Below are 17666 nucleotides of genomic sequence, written 5' to 3' on the forward strand. Positions count from 1 at the left end.
GAACCTGGGAGGCAGAGGTTGCAGTGAGCTGAGATTGTGCCACTGTACTCCAGCCTGAGAGACAGAGTGAGACTCCATCTCAACAACAACCAAAAAAAGATTAAATAGGCTAATTTAAATATATCTGAACTTTGTGAAAATGGTAACTCATGGTCTTTTTGTTATGATATACCTGTGGTTAATTTTTCTATCATGCTGCAGTAAAAGCAAGATGTAAATACTGAGTAATATCACAAACATGTTTGAATCCTAAAAGAATTTATGTGACATGAGCCAGTAACCACTGAAAAAACAGCACAGGTCATAGGTGGTTCTTAGAATCAGGATAATTTGGAAAATACTACAGCAGTGGTTCCATGAGCCAGCAGTGTCAGCATCACCTGGGAACTTGTTAGAAATGCAAATTCTCGGCAGGGCGCGGTGGCTCTTGCCTGTAATCCCAGCAATTTGGGAGGCCGAGGTGGGTGGGTCACAAGGTCAGGAGTTCGAGACCAGCCTGGCCAATATGGTAAAACCCCGTCTCTACTAAAAATCCAAAAATTAGCTGAGCATGGTGGCGGGCACCTGTAGTCCCAGCTACTCGGGAGGCTGAGGCAGAAGAATCGCTTGAACCGGGAGGCGGAGGTTGCAGTGAGCCAAGATCGCACCACTGCACTCCAGTCTGGGCAACAGAGCAAGACTCCGTCTAAAAAAAAAAAAAAAAGAAATGTAAATTCTCAGGCCCCACCACAAACCTGCTGAAACGAGGGGTTTGACTCAGCAATCCTTTAACAAGCCCTCCGGTTGATTCTGTCATGTATGCACCAAAGTTTGACGATCATTGTAGTACAGGTAGTTTCTCATGGAATCTGCTGGCATTTTTGGGTAAACACTTTTATAAAGACAGATTATTAGGTATAATAAAAGTAACTATATATGTTTAATATAATTCATAATATGAATGTGACTTTAGAATTTAGAAATAAATGGTTCTTGTATGGAACTTGTTAACATTTGAGAACACAGCATTCCACAGAATACAGTTTGGGAAATACTTCACTTGTATAATATATTTATTGCCTTAGTCAAAATTCTTTTTGTCCTCCGCCTCCCACTGCTTCACTTGACTAGCCTAAAAAAATAAAAAATAAAATCCTTTTTGTTTACATGTAACAGAAACCAGCACTGGCTGTCTAAAGGGGAAGAAAAAGAGTAATTTACTGGAAGAAATAGGGGCTATTGTCTCACAGAATCTCAAGAAGATTTCAGCAAACAAGACTCAGGAAAAAAAGGGACAGCAGTAGCCAGAGGAGTTCTGTGAACTTACAGGAGCAGATCTGTCTAAGCAACTTCTAAACCCTCTGGGTCAGAATCGGGCTGGCTGGGCTGGGCGCAGTGGCTCCCCGCTGTAATCCCAGCACTTTGGGAGGCAAAGGCGGACGGATCACTTGATCCCAGGAGCTTGAGACCAGCCTGGGTAACATGACCAAACCCCATTTCTGCAGAAAATACAAAATAATAATAATAATAATAATAATGGCGGTACAGGCCTGCAGTCCCAGCTACCTGGGAGGCTGAGGTTGAAGTGAGCTGTGATCATGGCACTGTACTCCAGCCTAGGCAACAGAGTGAGACCCTGTTTCCAAAAAAAAAAAGAATCATTGGGGTGCTTTTTTTTATATATTTGAAAGAGTTCTATAGAATTTTATGCAGTGAAGTTATTTAACAATCGCAGAATTAATGGAGCACTTTAAAATTATTTGCTCATTAAATCTCATATTTTTAGCAAATAGATCCATTCCATTAGTTTAATTTTATAACCATAGTAACCGAAGCAGGGAATTGTGAAGTAACTTTCACAAGGTCACATGATCAGGTTTGTGCTGATCAAGGTCTTCACTTCAGAACTCTTGCTCCCACAACCTTGAGTTGCAGTTCCAATCCAGTGCTTCAGTTGCCTATTAGCTAGCTCCCTCCTCAATCTGGGGGAGTGGGAGGTACATGGGTAGCGGGGTATGGGTGGTAAAGGCAAGGGCTCCTGGAAGTAAATATAGAAGTGCCAGCGGTTGGTGTTGGCATTAGCTTTTTGGCTGTAACATAAACCCCGTCAGCATGTCTATGCATGCCTATATGATGCAAACACATGTTTGCAATAGAGGCTAGTTTGAGATTTTCACAACAGTAAGTCTAAAGTTGTAGTTCTCAGGCCGGGCGCAATGCCTCACATGTGTAATACCAGCACTTTGGGAGACCGAGGCAGGCGGATCACCTGAGGTCAGGAGTTTGAGACCAACCTAGCCAATGTGGTGAAACCCCGTCTCTACTAAAAATACAAAAATTAGTCAGGCATGGTGGCGCACACCTGTCCAGCTACTTGGGAGACTGAGGCAAGAGAATCACTTGAACCCAGGAGGCGGAGGTTGCAGTGAGCCGAGATTGCACCACTGCATTCCAGCTTGGGCGACAGAGCCAGACTCCAACTCAAAAACAAGTAAAATAAAATAAAATAATAAAGTTGTAGTTCTTAGCACAGGTGGCACACTGAAATATGTGGAGAGCTTTAAAATCTCTTCCGCAGCTGGGCGTGGTGGCTCACGCCTGTAATCCCAGCACTTAGGGAGGCTGAGGCGGACGGATCACGAGGTCAAGAGATCGAGACCATCCTGGCTAACATGGTGAAACCCCGTCTCTATTAAAAATACAAAAATTAGCCACGCATGGTGGCACGCGCCTGTAGTCCCAGCTACTCGGGAGGCTGAGGCAGGAGAATCGCTTGAACCCGGGAGGTGGAGGTTGCAGTGAGCCAAGATTGTGTCACTGCACTCCAGCCTGGGCAACAGAGCGAGACTCCGTCTCAAAAAAAAAAAAAAAAAAAAAAAAAAGAAAGCAGAAATAGGCCAAAAGCTAGGCCTCTTGCACCAGTCAAGTTGTGAATACAAAGAAAAAGTTCTTGAAGGACATTAAAAATGCTACTCCAGTGAACATACAAATGATAGGAAAGCAAAACAACCTTATTGCTGATATGGAGAAAGTTTGAGTTATCTGGATAGATGATCAAGCAAGCCACAACATTCCCTTAAGGCAAAACCGAATATGGAGAAAAGCCCTAAATCTCTTCAATTCTAAGAAGGCTAAGAGAGGTGAGGAGGCTGCACAAGAAAAGTCTGAAGCTGGCCAGGTGCAGTGGCTCACGCCTGTAATGCCAGTACTTCGGGAGACTGAGGCGGGAGGATCCCTTGAGCTCAGGAGTTCAGTCATCATGCCGCTGCACTCCAGCCTTTATTGGAGTAGCATTTTTAATGCTACACGAATGATAAGAAACCAAAACAGCCTTATTGCTGACAGGAAGAAAGTTTGTGTGATCTCAAACTTTGATAAAAGATCAAATCATCCACAATATTCCCTTAAGCCAAAACCTAATCCTGAGCTCAACGGAAACACCTGCCTCAGTCTCCCAAGGTGTTGGGATGACAGGTGTGAGCCACCACGCCCAGCTCAAAATCTTTAAATTTTTCTTCTTTTTTTTTTTGAGAGGAGTTTCAGTCTTGTTGCCTAAGCGGGAGTGCAATGGCACAATCTCGGCTCACCGCAACCTCACCTTCCAGGTTCAAGTGATTATCCTGCCTCAGCCTCCCAAGTAGCTGGAATTACACCAACACGCCCAGCTAATTTTGTATTTTTAGTGAAGATGGGGTTTCTTCATGTTGGTCAGGCTGTTCTTGAACTCCCGACCTCAAGTGATCCACCCGCCTCGGCCTCCCAAAGTGCTGGGATTACAGGCGTAAGCCACCGTGCCTGGCCTAAAAAAAAAAAATTTTTTTAAGTAGCTGGATTTGATGGCATTCAGATGTAGTCCCAGTTACTCCAGAGGCTGAGGCAGGAGTATCACCTGAGCCCAGAAGTTTGAGGTTACAGTGAACTATGATTGCACAACTGCACACCAGCCTGGGCAACAAAGCAAGAACCTGTCTAAAATAAGAAATAAAAGAACAACAAAGTGACCAGTATAGCTGGAGCAGAGTGAGCAAGCAGGAAAGACACAGGAAATAAGGGGCAAGAGCTGTATGTGAAGTTGCACACACCCTGTAGCAGCAAAATTTCTACTTCTGGACACTCCATTCCATTTGGTTTGATCCAATTGGCTGACTTTGGCCTGGTCTTATCAAGAAAAATAAATGCCTCAAGTTAATGAGTGAACAAGCAAATGTGTTAGTTAGAAAAGGCTGGATAATGACATAAGAAATGCTAGTTGTTAAGTCTCATTCTGCCTGCCTTACACTTTTACCTTGAGGAAGTGTGTGTGTGAGCAAGGGTGAGCAAGAGTGGAAGGAAACAAAGATGAAAGGGGGAAAGCACAAGACTATCAAGGAGCTTTTTTTTTTTTCCTTTTTTTTTTTTGAGACAGAGTCTCACCCTGTCACCCAGGCTGGAGTGCAGTGGCACAATCTCAGCTCACTTCCACCTCCGCCTCCCAGATTCAAGCAATTCTCCTGCCTCAGCCTCCAGAATAGCTGGGACTACAGGCATCTGCCACCACCCCAGCTAATTTTTTTGTATTTTTAGTAGAGACGGGGTTTCACCATGTTGGCCAGGCTGGTCTCGAACCTGGACCTCAAGTGGTCCACCCATCTCGGCCTCCCAAAGTGGTGGGATTACAACTGTGAGCCACCGCACCCAGCCAATCATGAAGCTTTGAATACCATGTTAAGGAATCATGACCCTGTCCAACAGTTTTGAACTCAAGTTGCTACAGGGGCCAGGCAGGTAATGTAAATCATCAAGTCTTCCATTCGTTACTGTTACGGGAAGTGAGAAACCAAGTCTGGTTTGTGGGACCCTCGAATGCAGTCTCAGTGTTACCAGAACTTCCTGTTTTCCAAGGGAAATCATAAATTGGAGATTTTAAAATCTTAGTAAATTCTTCAAACCCAGAAGACTGAATAATATATATTAAGTAAACCAAATTCTGACCCATCGCATGTCCAAGTACAACCAGGACAATGCAAGACAGAAAGAGTTTTGTGCCCGGAAGTGTCTGGGTCAGAGTATTTTTGGATGTCTTTGCTTATCTGAGCTATTTATATTTGCCTCTCTTGTCACCTGTCTGATCCTGGCAGCCAGATTTTGGCCATTACTCAGCTCTGTTCTCACACACACCGACACCCCCACAAGGATAGCACAGGCCCATCTTAGGCATCAATAATGTTCACAGAAACAAACTTTCAAGAGTTTCGGCCAGGCGTGGTGGCTCACGCCTGTAATTCCAGCACTTTGGGAGGCCGAGGCAGGCAGATCACGAGGTCAGGAGATGAAGACCATCCTGGCTAACACGGTGAAACCCTGTCACTACTAAAAATACAAAAAATTAGCCGGGCGTAGTGGCACGTGCCTGTAGTCCCAGCTACTCGAGAGGCTGAGGCAGGAGAATCACTTGAACCTGGGAGGTGGAGGTTGTGGTGAGCCGAGATAGCCCCACTGCACTCCAGCCTGGGCGACAGAGGGAGACTCCATCTCAAAAAAAAAAAAAAAGTTTTACAATTAGCATTAAGAGTCTTTTGTTTTTTGGGTTTTTTGTTTTGTTTTGTTTTGTTTTGAGATGGAGTTTTGCTCTTATTGCCCAGGCTGGAGTGCAATGGCGCGATCTCGGCTCACCGCAACCTCTGCCTCCCGGGTTCAAGCGATTCTCCTGCCTCAGCCTCCCGAGTAGCTGGGATTACAGGCATGTGCCACCACGTCCGGCTAATTTTGTACTTTTAGTAGAGACGGGGTTTCCCCATGTTGGTCAGGCTGGTTTCAAACTCCTGACCTCAGGTGATCCGCCCACCTCAGCCTCCCAAAGTGCTGGGATTACAGGCATGAGCCACCGTGCCTGGCCCAAGAGTGTTAAAGTCTGGTGCAGTGGCCTGTAGTCCCAGCTACCCCAGAGGCTGAAGCAGGAGGATCATGTGAGCCCAGGAGTTTGAGACCAACCTGGGCAACACAGCAATACTCCCTCTCTTAAAAAAAAAAAAGCCTTAAATTTATTTGTTCATAGTCTTCAACTCACGAATTTTTCTAGGAATTTAATTAATCAGGAATATAATTATTTAAGAGTTTTATCTCATCTTGAAATATGTGAAAAATTGGGAAGAAAACCCTAAATGTTCTCAATAAGGATTAATAAATTATAGCATACATGAATAGTCTGCAACCATTAACAATTATATTTAAGGAATATTTAATATTACAAAAATTATGAAATGTGCTAAGTGGAAAAAGCAGGCTATATAGCTATACATTATTAATACGGTATATAAACTTATATGCTATAAAAATAACCAACATGTTGGTTTCTCTTTGTAGTGCAATTGGGATTTGAGGGAGTTCTCCCTTCTCTGTTTAAAAGGATCTCTTTAAAAAACAACAAATGTAATACAACTTAGCACATAGATAGATATTAAATAAGTGTATTATATAAAGAATCTTAAAACTTCTCCCTTCTCCGTCCACCCCAGAGCTAACCAATGGTAACAGGTGCAAACTACACATCTTTCCAGATCTTTGTTTCCTCTGTGTAACTATGTATACAACTATGAGACTGTTCTATATGTATCATTGCGCAACCTCGGTTTTTGCTTCGTTCTGTTTTAACCTAACAGGAAATCCTGCATACCTTTCCATTTCAGAGCACTTGGAGCTACCTTCTGTTTCTTTGCTGTAGAAGCCGTTGTGTGAACAAATCCGTTTATTTCTCTCATCAGTCTCCTTTGATAGACATTTGGGTCACGTCCGGTTTTACGCTTTTACAATACATCAGTGAACAGCAGTAATACGAGCTCAAGACAGAAGGCCTGAAAAACATTGAAAAACACAGAGACGGAAAAAAAAAAACCACAGAGGGGGAAATATAATTTCGGGTTATTTCAGTTTCACCTTTACACTTTGTTATATTCCACATTTTTTGCAATAAATATAAATTTGGAAGTAAAAGCATAAAACGAAAATCAAACGATTGATTGATTGATTGATTGACTGAGACGGAGTATCACTCTCGTCGTCCAGGCTGGAGTGTAGTGGCGCGTTCTCGGCTCACTGCAACCTCCGTCTCCCGGATTCAAGCGATTCTCCTGCCTCAGCCTCCCGAGTAGCTGGGATTACAGGCGCCCGCCACCACGCCCGGCAAATTTCCAAACGTATATTTAAAAGAAGAAAAGGAAAAGAGGGGAAAAAAAGAAAGAAAGAAAGAAAGAAAGAAATTAGAAGCAGATGGGGCAGTTCAGCCTCTTCTCGCGGAGCGGGGCTAGACGGAGTCAGGGGCGGACCGCCACAGCCTGCACCAATCAGGACCCGGTTGATAGGCAGAGCCTGGCGACTTCGAAGACTCGCCCCCAGTCAAAGAGCCCCGGGGATTCGTTTCCGTACGCAGCCTGGAAACCAGCCTGGGCCTATCCTGCGCGCCGCTGCGGGCTACTATTGGCTGCCAAGAAACCCCGCCCATCTTCCTGCTCATTGGCCGGTGCGGTTTACGTAAGAGGAGCCTGTTGCTGAGCGAAAAGTCTGTTCTGCAATTTTCGCTAAGGAGTTGTTAACGCTGAAACCGCACTGGGCGTCCTGGGGTCAAAAAAACAATACTAGCCACAGTTTATTAAACTGCAACTAAATGCCAGGCTATGTGCGCCAAACTTTTAATATTAATGGTTGTAGGCACCTTTCTTGAACACCCACCACTATCAGCCAGTCACTGAGCCAGATCCTTCAAAATAACAGTAAAAATATAGATAATCTACAGTTTATTGAGCACTTCATCTGCATCAAGCCTTGTTAAGGGGTTTCCATGCATAAGCTCTCATTCTCACAATAGAACGGTGGAGGTAAACTATTGCCCCATTTAACATTTAACATGCAGTCCTGTAGACCCAGCTACTCGGAAGGCTGAGGTGAGAGGACCCAGGAGCTCCAAACTTAAGTGAGCTATGATCGCGCCACTGCACTCCAGCCTGGGCAACAGAACGAGACCTGTCTCAGAAAAACAAAAACGTAATAAAAGAAAAACAAAAACAAAAAAACAGGAAACGGGTTCAGAGAAGTGAAGTGTTTTGCTGAGGTTCACAAAGAAAGGGTTGGAACTGGAACCTTCAACTCCGATATCCTGATTCCAAGTGTGGCCTTTTTAGGGAGGGGGTCGGGGTACAGAATTCCGCTGGGGATAGGGAAAGGTAGGACAGGATGGTGGGAGGCCAGAGGCGTTGCTCCAGGGACAAGCCTCAGGGTGGTTCTCTGAGAATAGGATGTATAGAGCCTCTAGGAGTGGAGGGTTGGGGAAGGAAGGGAGACCAGAGGAAAGGGAGAAGTTGTTCTTTCTGAAAATGTGAGGCTTCTCTCCTGGGGCAGCCTATTAAGGTGTAGGTAGCCCTGGACCTCGAGATTCTAGTCTCCACTCTGTGGCCAACTTCCTAGGGAACCTTGGGCAAATTCCTCTCTCTCGACCTGAGGCTTCCTGCCTTGTAAGAGAGGTAGTAAGCCAAAACAATGGAAAGTGCATTCGGGCTGTGAAGTATTTTAGGACTCTGGTCCTTGCTGGCAGCAGGGGGAATCTTCAGCAACCACAGACCTTTACTTAGCTGTTGCCTGGCCTCTTTTCAAGACCTTCAGGCGGTGACATGGACCCTAACAATCCTATAAACTCAAAACGGTTTGGGCCAGCCCTTTCCTACTCCATTCTGACTTAGCTATAGCAGGATCTGGCCTGCAGGGGGCGTTGAGGAACCACTCAGCCGACAAAACTAAACTAAATCAACCAAGCAATTTGCCCAAAAGCACCCAGTGCGTTAGTTTTTGCATTTAAGAAGGGTAAACGTTTCCAAACCTGAAGATTTCTGTCCTCAGTATGCAATCGAGAAGACGAATTATATACACTGCCAGTTCTTTATGGCACCAGTTCTCTCCATAATGACTCTGCAAGTTTAGAGCTAATTTCTATTTCTTTGTTTTACAGATAGGGAAACAGATTCAAAGAGCTGGAAAAAAAAAATTCAGTTTGGGTTACTTGGCTAAAAGCTGGCACCCGAATTGCCTGACTCCTGGGAAGTGCTCTTAGGAGATAGTTGGCTTTGTTTCTGGGAGTCTGTGGTTGTACTGCCTGCTAATGCACAACTCCAAAGGACAATTTTGGTTGTGTAGCTTGACAGCTCGGCACCTGTCAGCTCTGTGCAGGAAGGACCTCCCTCCCCACCTAGCACAATGCCTGCTTCATGAGTAATTGAATTAATGTGTGACTAAGCCTTGAAGGATGGGTCTTCTTTGGCTTTATCAAACCAATTGGAGTGGAACTTCTTTCCTGAAAGTTCCCCCTGGGCAGGAATTGTATCTGAGATTAGTGGGTGGGGAGGGGGGAAACAATAAGAAGAGCTCAGAAAATGACATCTGGGGTGATAAATCACAGCCCCCCGAATGGTCCCATTACAAGGTCATTATAGTAAAGTGATCTCAGAATTTGAGACTAGAAAACTAATTCAGGAAGAATGAATACAGAACAGATGACAATCATATTAGGGTCATAATCTGAAATGGATCTAAGGCTGAAGACATCTCAAAAACATTTCAAATCCAGTCTAGGTAGGTGTATCTTTGGGACTGGAAGGTGATTGAGGAATATAAATAGCTGGCCAATCAGTGGCCTCAACATAGCTGATGCAAGAGTTGAGAGTGTGGCAACAGAAGAAGGAGATCTTTACCCAACCAAAAATACAAGGCAGTGGGGAGGGGAGGAATGTGCCCAGCCAGTGGCACCCTGCCATGCCCTGCTAGGCTGCTAGCTTCACCACTGGATTTCCCAGAGCCAGGCACAGTGCCTGGTACACACAAGATGGTAAATAAATATTTATTGAATGAAAAAAGGAAGGAAGGAACTGGAGCCCTGACCAGCAGATAGTTGCTGAGTAGAGCAGTTCAATAATTCGTCCTTTCACTTGCTCAGATTCCAGCTGCCTTAGCCACCTTCAGATGATAAATTTGCCTTTCAGTAAAGGCTCTCCTACAAAGAGGAATGCCCTGGCCTCTCAATTACAGGTCGCTTGACAGTTATGTTTCTCACTTCCAATTAATATATCTGCTTTAAGCATCAGTTCCTTTTGCCAGCCGGCTTCTTACATATTCATGTGTTTGTCTCATCAATGGAGTGGTGGAGTTTCTGCATAGGAGTCATTCCTGCCTGGGTTGGAATCCTTACTCAGCATATTACTAACCTATCTGACCTTGGTCCAGACGTGTTACCTCTTGAGTCTCAGTTTTCTCATCAGTCAAATGGAGACACAATAGCCTGTTTCACAACGTTGTGGTGAGAGTTACCTGAGACAGTGATGTATCCTGAATTCTTGCTGGAGCTCAGTAACTCTTAATGTCTGTGCTTCTTCCTGGCTTTTCTTTTTTGGAGACCAGGTCACAAAAGATAATATCAAGGCTGGGCGTGGTGGCTCACACCTGTAATCCCAGCACTTTGGGAGGCCGAGATGGGCAGATTGCTTGAGCTCAGGAGTTCAATAACAGCCTGGGCAACGTGGTGAACCGCCCCACCCCCCACCCCCCACCTCGTCTCTACAAAAAATACAAAAATTAGCCAGGTGTGGTGGTGTGCACCTATAGTCCCAGCTGCTTGGGAGGCTGAGGTGGGAGAATCACCTGAGCCTGGGAGGTTGAGGCTGCAGTAAACAGTGATTGTGCTACTGTACTCCAGCCTGGGAGACAGACTGAGACCCTGTGTTAAAAAAAAAAAAAAAAAAAGGCCGGCGCGGTGGCTCACACCTGTAATCCCAGCACTTTGGGAGGCTGAGGCGAGTGGATTACCTGAGGTCAGGAGTTCAAGACCAGCCTGGCCAACATGGTGAAACCCCGTCTCCACTAAAAATACAAAAATCAGCTGGGCGTGGTGGCATGTGCCTGTAGTCCCAGCTACTCAGGAGGCTGAGATAGGAGAATTGCTTGAATCCAGGAAGCAGTGGTTACAGTGAGCCAAGATTGCGCCACTGCACTCCAGCCTGGGCGACAGAGCAAGACTCTGTCTCAAAAAAAAAAAAAAAAGAATTTTGGGTCAGGTTCAGTGGCTCACACCTGTAATCCCAGCACTTTAGGAAGTTGAGACTGGGAATTTGAGACCAGCCTGGTTAACATACTGAGACCCGTCTCTGCAAAAAATAAAAAGAAATTGGCCGGACAGCATAGTGCACACCTGTAGTCCTAGCTACTTGGGAGGATAGTTTGAGCCCAAGAGTTTGAGGTTACAGTCAGCTATAATCACATCACTGCACTCCAGCCTGGGTGACAGAGTGAGTAGAGGGAGACTGTCTCAAAAAAGAAAAAAAAAATTCTAAGAATTTTTTGCTTTTTCTTCTCACAAAGTTACTATGTAAATGAAGCTTTGGGAATGATTTAGTGACTGCCTTAAAGATTCTAAGGAGTTATTCAACAGAGGAGAGTAACTCATACACATTCATTCAAAAATATTCACTAAGGACTCACTACAGGCATATCTTGTTTTTTTGTCTTTTTGTTTTGAGACGGAGTCTTGCTCTGTCGCCAGGCTGGAGTGCAGTGGCGCAATCTTGGCTCACTGCAACCTCAGACTCCCTGGTTCAAGGGATTCTCCTGCCTCAGCCTTCTGAGTAGCTGGGATTACAGGGATACGCCACCACGCCCAGCTAATTTTTTTTTTTGTATTTTTAGTAGAGACGGGGTTCACCATGTTGGCCAGGATGGTCTTGATCTCGACCTCGTGAACCACCCGTCTCGGCCGGCCTCACAAAGTCCCGGGATTACAGGCGTGAGCCACCGTGCCCGGCCGGCATATCTTGTTTTATTGTGCTGCACTTTACTGTGCTTTGTAGATAATGCATTTTTTTGTTTTTTTGTTTTTTTGAGACAGAGTCTTGCTCTGTCGCCCAGACTGGAATGCATTGCTCAAGCAATCAATCAAGCCCGACCCACTTTATTTATTTATTTATTTATTTTAGACAGAGTTTCGCTGTGTCACTCAGGCTGGAGTGCCTTGCTCAAGCAATCCTCCTGCCTCAGCTTTCCAAGTAGCTGGGATTACAGGCATGCACCACCAAGCCCAGCTAATTTTCTATTTTTTTTTTTTTTGAGTTGGAGTCTCACTCTGTCCCCCAGGGTGGAGTGCGATGGCGCGATCTTTGGCTCACTGCAACCTCTGCCTCCCGGGTTCAAGCAATTCTCCTGCCTCAGCCTCCCTGAGTAGCGGGGATTACAGGTGCCCACCACCACGCCGAGCTAATTTTTGTATTTTCAGTAGAGACGGGGTTTCATCATATTGGCCAGGCTGGTCTCTTGGCCAGGCTGGTCTTGAACTCCTGTCTTCATGATCCACCCGCCTCAGCCTCCCAAAGTGCTGGGATTACAAGCGTGAGCCACTGCGCCCAGCCAATTTTCTTATTTTTTGTAGAGACAGAGTCTCGCTATGTTGCCCAGGCTGGTCTCAAACTCCTGGGCTCAAGCGGTTCTCTTGCCATGGCCCCCCAAAGTGCTGGGATTGTAGGCATGAGCCGCTAAGCCCAGCTGCATGTCTTTCATTTTAAATCAAAAGCTAGAAATCATTAAGCTTAGTGAAGAACATGTGCCAAAAGCCAAGATAGGCCAAAAGCTAGGTCTCTTGAGCCAAATAGCCAAGTTGTGAATGCAAAGGAAACATTCTTTTTTTTTTTTTTTGAGACAGTCTTGCTCTGTCTCCCAGGCTGGAGTGCAGTGGCCTGATCTCGGCTCACTACAACCTCCACCTCCCAGGTTCAAGCGATTCTCCTGCCTCAGCCTCCCGAGTAGCTGGGACTACAGGTGTCCACCACCATGCCTGGCTAATTTTTGTATTTTTAGGAGAGACGGGGTGTCACCATATTGGCCAGGCTGGTCTCGAACTCCTGACCTTGTGATCCGCCCACCTCGGCCTCCCAAAGTGCTAGGATTACAGGTGTGAGCCACCACGCCCGGCCAGGAAACATTCTTTTTTTTTTTTTTTTTTTTGAGACGGAGTCTCGCTCTGTCGCCCAGGCCGGACTGCGGACTGCAGTGGCGCAATCTCGGCTCACTGCAAGCTCCACTTCCCGGGTTCACGCCATTCTCCTGCCTCAGCCTCCCGAGTAGCTGGGACTACAGGCGCCCGCCACCGCGCCCGGCTAATTTTTTGTATTTTTAGTAGAGACGGGGTTTCACCTTGTTAGCCAGGATGGTCTCGATCTCCTGACCTCATGATCCACCCGCCTCGGCCTCCCAAAGTGCTGGGATTACAGGCGTGAGCCACTGCGCCCGGCCGAAACATTCTTAAAGAAAAATTTTAAATGCTACTCCAATAAATACATGAATGATAAGAAAGCAAACAGCCTTATTGCTGATAGGAAGAAAGTTTGAGTGGTCTCAGACTTTGATAGAAGATCAAACCGTCCACAATATTCCCTTAATCCAAAACCTAATCCAGAGCAAGGCCCTAACTCTCTTCAATTCTAGGAAAGCTGAGAGACGTGAGGAAGCTGCTGTAGAAAAGCTTAAACCTAGCATAGTTTGCTTCATGAGGTTGAAAGAAAGAAGCCTTCTCAATAACAGAAAAATACAAGGTGAAGCAGCCCATGCTGATGGAGAAGCTGCTGCAGTGAGTTATCCAGAAGATCTAGCTAAGATAACTGATGAAGGTAGATACACTAAACAACAGATTTTTCCATGTAGACAAACAGCCTTGTAATGGAAGAAGATGCCATCTAAGACTTTCATAGCTAAAGAGAAGCCAGGTTGGGAGCAGTGGCTCATGCCTGTAATCCCAGGACTTTGGGAGGCTGAGGCGGGCAGATCACGAGGTCAAGAGATTGAGACCATCCTGGCCAACATAGTGAAACCCCATCTCTACTAAAAATACAAAAAATTAGCTGAGCGTGTGGCATGTGCCTGTAGTCCCATCTACTAGGGAGGGTGAGGCAGGAGAATCACTTGAACCCAGGAGGTGGAGGTTGCAGTGAGCCGAGATTGTGCCACTGCACTCCAGCCTGGGTGACAGAGGGAAACTCCATCTCAAAAAAAAAAAAAAAGAGACAGAAGCCAATACCTGGTTTCCAAGTTTCAAAGCACAGGTTGACTCTCTTGTTAGGGGCTAATGCAGCTGGTGACTATAAGTTTAAGCCAGTGCTCATTGACTATTCTGAAAATCCTAGGGCCTTTAAGAATTATGCTAAATTTACTCTACCTGTGCTCTATAAATGGAACAGGCCGGGAGTGGTGGCTCATGCCTGTAATCCCAGCACTTTGGGAGGCCGATGCAGTGGATCACTTGAGGTCAGGAGTTCAAGACCAGCCTGGCCAACATGGCGAAACCCCGTCTCTACTAAAAATACAAAAATTAGCCAGGCGTGGTGGTGCGCACCTATAATCCCAGCTACATGGGGGGCTGAGGCAGGAGAATCGCTTGAACCTGGGAGGCAGAGGCTACAGTGAGCCAAGATCATGCCATTACACTCCAGCTTGGGCAACAGAGTGAGACTCCGCCTCAAAAAACAAACAAAAAATGTGATCCATAGAAGGAGGCAAAAAAATCAACATAAACAGGAGTTTGAAAGAAGCTCATTTCACTCTCATGGATGACTTTGAGGTGGTTCAAGACTTCAATGTAGGAAGTAACTGTAGGTGTGTTCGAAATAGCAAGAGAACAGCCTGTCCAACATAGCGAAACCCCATCTCTACTAAAAATATAAAAATTAGCCAGGCATGGTGGCACATCCCTGTAATCCCAGCTACTTGGGAGGCTAAGGCAGGAGAATCACTTGTACCCGGGAGGCAGGGGTTGCAGTGAGCCGAGATCTCACCACTGCACTCCAGCCTGGGCGTCAGAGCAAGACTCTGTCTTCAAAAAGAAAAAAAGAAATAACAAGAGAAGTAGAATTAGAAATAAAGCCTGAATATGTGACTGAATTGTTGCAATCTCAGGATAAAACTCGAATGGATGAGGAGTTGCTTCTTCTTTTTATTCTTTTTTTCTTTATTCTTTTGTTTTGTTTTGTTTTGTTTGAGATGGAGTTTCGCTCTTGTTTCCCAGGCTGGAGTGCAGTAGCGCAATCTCAGCTCACTGCAACGTCCACCTCTTGGGTTCAAGCGATTCTCCTGCCTCAACCTCCCAAGTAGCTGGGATTACAGGCACCCACCACCATGCCTGGCTAATTTTTTGCATTTTAGGTAGAGATGGGGTTTCACCATCTTGGCCAGGCTGGTCTTGAACTTCTGTCCTCGTGATCCATCCACCTCAGCCTCCCAAAGAGCTGGGATTACAGGCGTGAGCCACTGCGCCTGGCCAATTTTTGTATTTTTAGTAGAGACGGGGTTTCCCCATGTTGGCCCAGGCTGACTTTTCTTTTTTTGTTTCTTTAAGGAGTTGCTTCTTATGGCTGAGCAAAGAAAGTGGTTTCTTGAGATGGAATCTACTCCTGTGAAGATGCTATGATCATTGTTGAAATGACAACAAAGGATTTAGAATATTACATAAGCTTAGTTGACAAAGCAGCAGCAGGGTTTGAGAAGATTGACTCCAATTTTGAAAGAAGTTCTGCTGTAGGTAACATGTTACCAAACAGTATCACATGCTACAGAGAAATCTTTCATGGAAGGAAGAGTGGATCCTTGTGGCCAACTTTATTATTGTCTTATTTTAAGAAATTGGCACAGCCGGCTGGGCACCGTGGCTCACACCTATAATCCCAGCACTTTGGGAGGCTGAGGCTGGTGGATCACCTGAGGTCGGGAGTCCAAGACCAGCCTAACAAACATGGAGAAACCCCATCTCTACTAAAAATAAAAAATTAGCCGGGCGTGGTGGTGCTACTCGGGAGGCAGAGGCAGGAGAATTGCTTGCACCTAGGAGACGGAGGTTGCCGTGAGCCGAAATCACACCATTGCACTCCAACCTGGGCAACAAGAAGGACACTTCGTCTCACAAAAAACAAACAAACAAAAAAAAAGTGCTCTAACACAGCCTTGTGCAGTCAAAAGAAGATACTGTGTGACCCTGATAAGCAATTTTTGTTTTTATTTTTATTTTTATTTTTGATTCAGTGGCACAATCTGCAACCTCCATCTCCCAGGTTCAAGCTATTCCCTTGCCTCAGCCTGCCGAGTAGCTGGGATTACAGGCTCTCGCACCACACCCGGCTAATTTTTATGTTTTTGGTAGAGATGGGATTTTACCATGTTGGCCAGCCTCCCAAGTACATGAGATTATAGGTACATGCCACCACACCCTGCTGATTTTTGTAGTTTTTGTGAATACAGGGTTTCTCCATGTTGACCAGGCTGGTCTCGAACTCTTGGGCTCAAGGGATCCTCCCTTTTGGCCTCCCCAGATGCTGGGATTACAGATGTTAGCCACCAAGCCTGGCCAATTTTACCTTTCTGAGCTCAAGTTTTCTCACTTTGTACACGTGGTCAATGAGAGATTTTTATCATCAGTTGGAGGGAAGTGGTGAGATATATACACATGATATCAAGCATACACCAAGTTTGGAGATCAGTGGTAGAAAGAGATAAAAAGAATGTGTTGAAGATGTTGAGGACTGGGTGAGATTACTTTCAGCTGAGCTTTTTGGAGGAGGTGTCATTTAAAGTCTTGCTTCAGGCCACAAACAGGAATGAAGGCATTGAATGATGGATACTATTTCAATGGGTAGAGATTTGCAAGAAGAGTACTGAAAGAAAGATTTGAAGGCCAAACAAGAAACATGGATGTTGCAGGTGGTAAGAATGGGAGGGTAAATTAGGTGCATCTTGGCAAACCTTGAATGTTAAGATAGGAGTTTGATTTTTTTTTTTTTTTTTTTTGAGACAGGGTTTCGCTCTGACACCCAGATCGTGCAGTGGCACGATCTCAGCTCACTGCAACCTCTGCCTCCCGGGTTCAAGCGATTCTCCTGCCTCAGCTTTTCGAGTAGTTGGGACTACAGGCGTGCACCACCACGCTTGGCTAATTTTTGTATATTTAGTAGAGATGGGGTTTCACGATGTTGGCCAGGATGATCTTGAACTCCTGACCTCAGGTGATCTGCCTGCCTTTGCCTCCCAAAGTGCTGGGATCACAGGCGTGAGCCACCATGCCCACCCAAGGAGTTTGATCTTAATTCTGTAGCTGATGAAATACCAGTGAAGCCTTTTGATCTGGACTTTGACATTACATAGTAAATTTTTTTTTTTTTTTGAGACAGAATCTCACTCTGTCACCCAGGCTAGAGTGCAGTGGCACGATCTCGGCTCACTGCAAGCTCTGCCTCCTGGGTTCACGCCATTCTCCTGCCTCAGCCTCCCAAGTAGCTGGGACTACAGGCACCCGCCACCACGCCTGGCTAATTTTTTGTATTTTTAGTAGAGACGGGGTTTCACCATGTTAGCCAGGATGGTCTTGATCTGACCTCGTGATCCGCCCACCTCGGCCTCCCAAAGTGCTGGGATTACAGGCGTGAGCCACCACGCCTGGCCACATAGTAAATTTTTTAAATGAAAGCTGAAGCTGACACAGGGTAGTTTAGAGAGGAAGTTGATGCAAAGGAAGATTCCGTGACCAAGGGCATATGATTGTCAGGACATTTTGCTAGGTGACATAGAGCAGGAGATGGATGTCAAGATGTAGACCCTGCCAGCCAGGCGCGGTGGCTCATGCCTATAATGCCAGCACTTTGGGAGGC

The 17666-nt window shown here is 45.7% G+C and overlaps 4 annotated features.

Annotated features, from left to right (window-relative positions):
- Positions 5740–6239: an enhancer, noted in NCBI's record as "H3K4me1 hESC enhancer chr1:28572195-28572694 (GRCh37/hg19 assembly coordinates)". NCBI's record gives its function as "activates a minimal SCP1, AML or CMV promoter by ChIP-STARR-seq in primed H9 embryonic stem cells {active_cell/tissue: H9 hESC(primed)}" and the evidence as "EXISTENCE:reporter gene assay evidence [ECO:0000049][PMID:30033119]".
- Positions 7048–7217: an enhancer, noted in NCBI's record as "active region_592". NCBI's record gives its function as "activates an Ori minimal core promoter by ATAC-STARR-seq in GM12878 lymphoblastoid cells {active_cell/tissue: GM12878}" and the evidence as "EXISTENCE:reporter gene assay evidence [ECO:0000049][PMID:35858748]".
- Positions 8459–8658: an enhancer, noted in NCBI's record as "active region_593". NCBI's record gives its function as "activates an Ori minimal core promoter by ATAC-STARR-seq in GM12878 lymphoblastoid cells {active_cell/tissue: GM12878}" and the evidence as "EXISTENCE:reporter gene assay evidence [ECO:0000049][PMID:35858748]".
- Positions 10297–11170: an enhancer, noted in NCBI's record as "H3K27ac hESC enhancer chr1:28576752-28577625 (GRCh37/hg19 assembly coordinates)". NCBI's record gives its function as "activates a minimal SCP1, AML or CMV promoter by ChIP-STARR-seq in primed H9 embryonic stem cells {active_cell/tissue: H9 hESC(primed)}" and the evidence as "EXISTENCE:reporter gene assay evidence [ECO:0000049][PMID:30033119]".

The sequence above is a fragment of the Homo sapiens genome, chromosome 1 (genome assembly GCF_000001405.40).
Source record: "Homo sapiens chromosome 1, GRCh38.p14 Primary Assembly".
Lineage (NCBI taxonomy): Eukaryota > Metazoa > Chordata > Mammalia > Primates > Hominidae > Homo > Homo sapiens.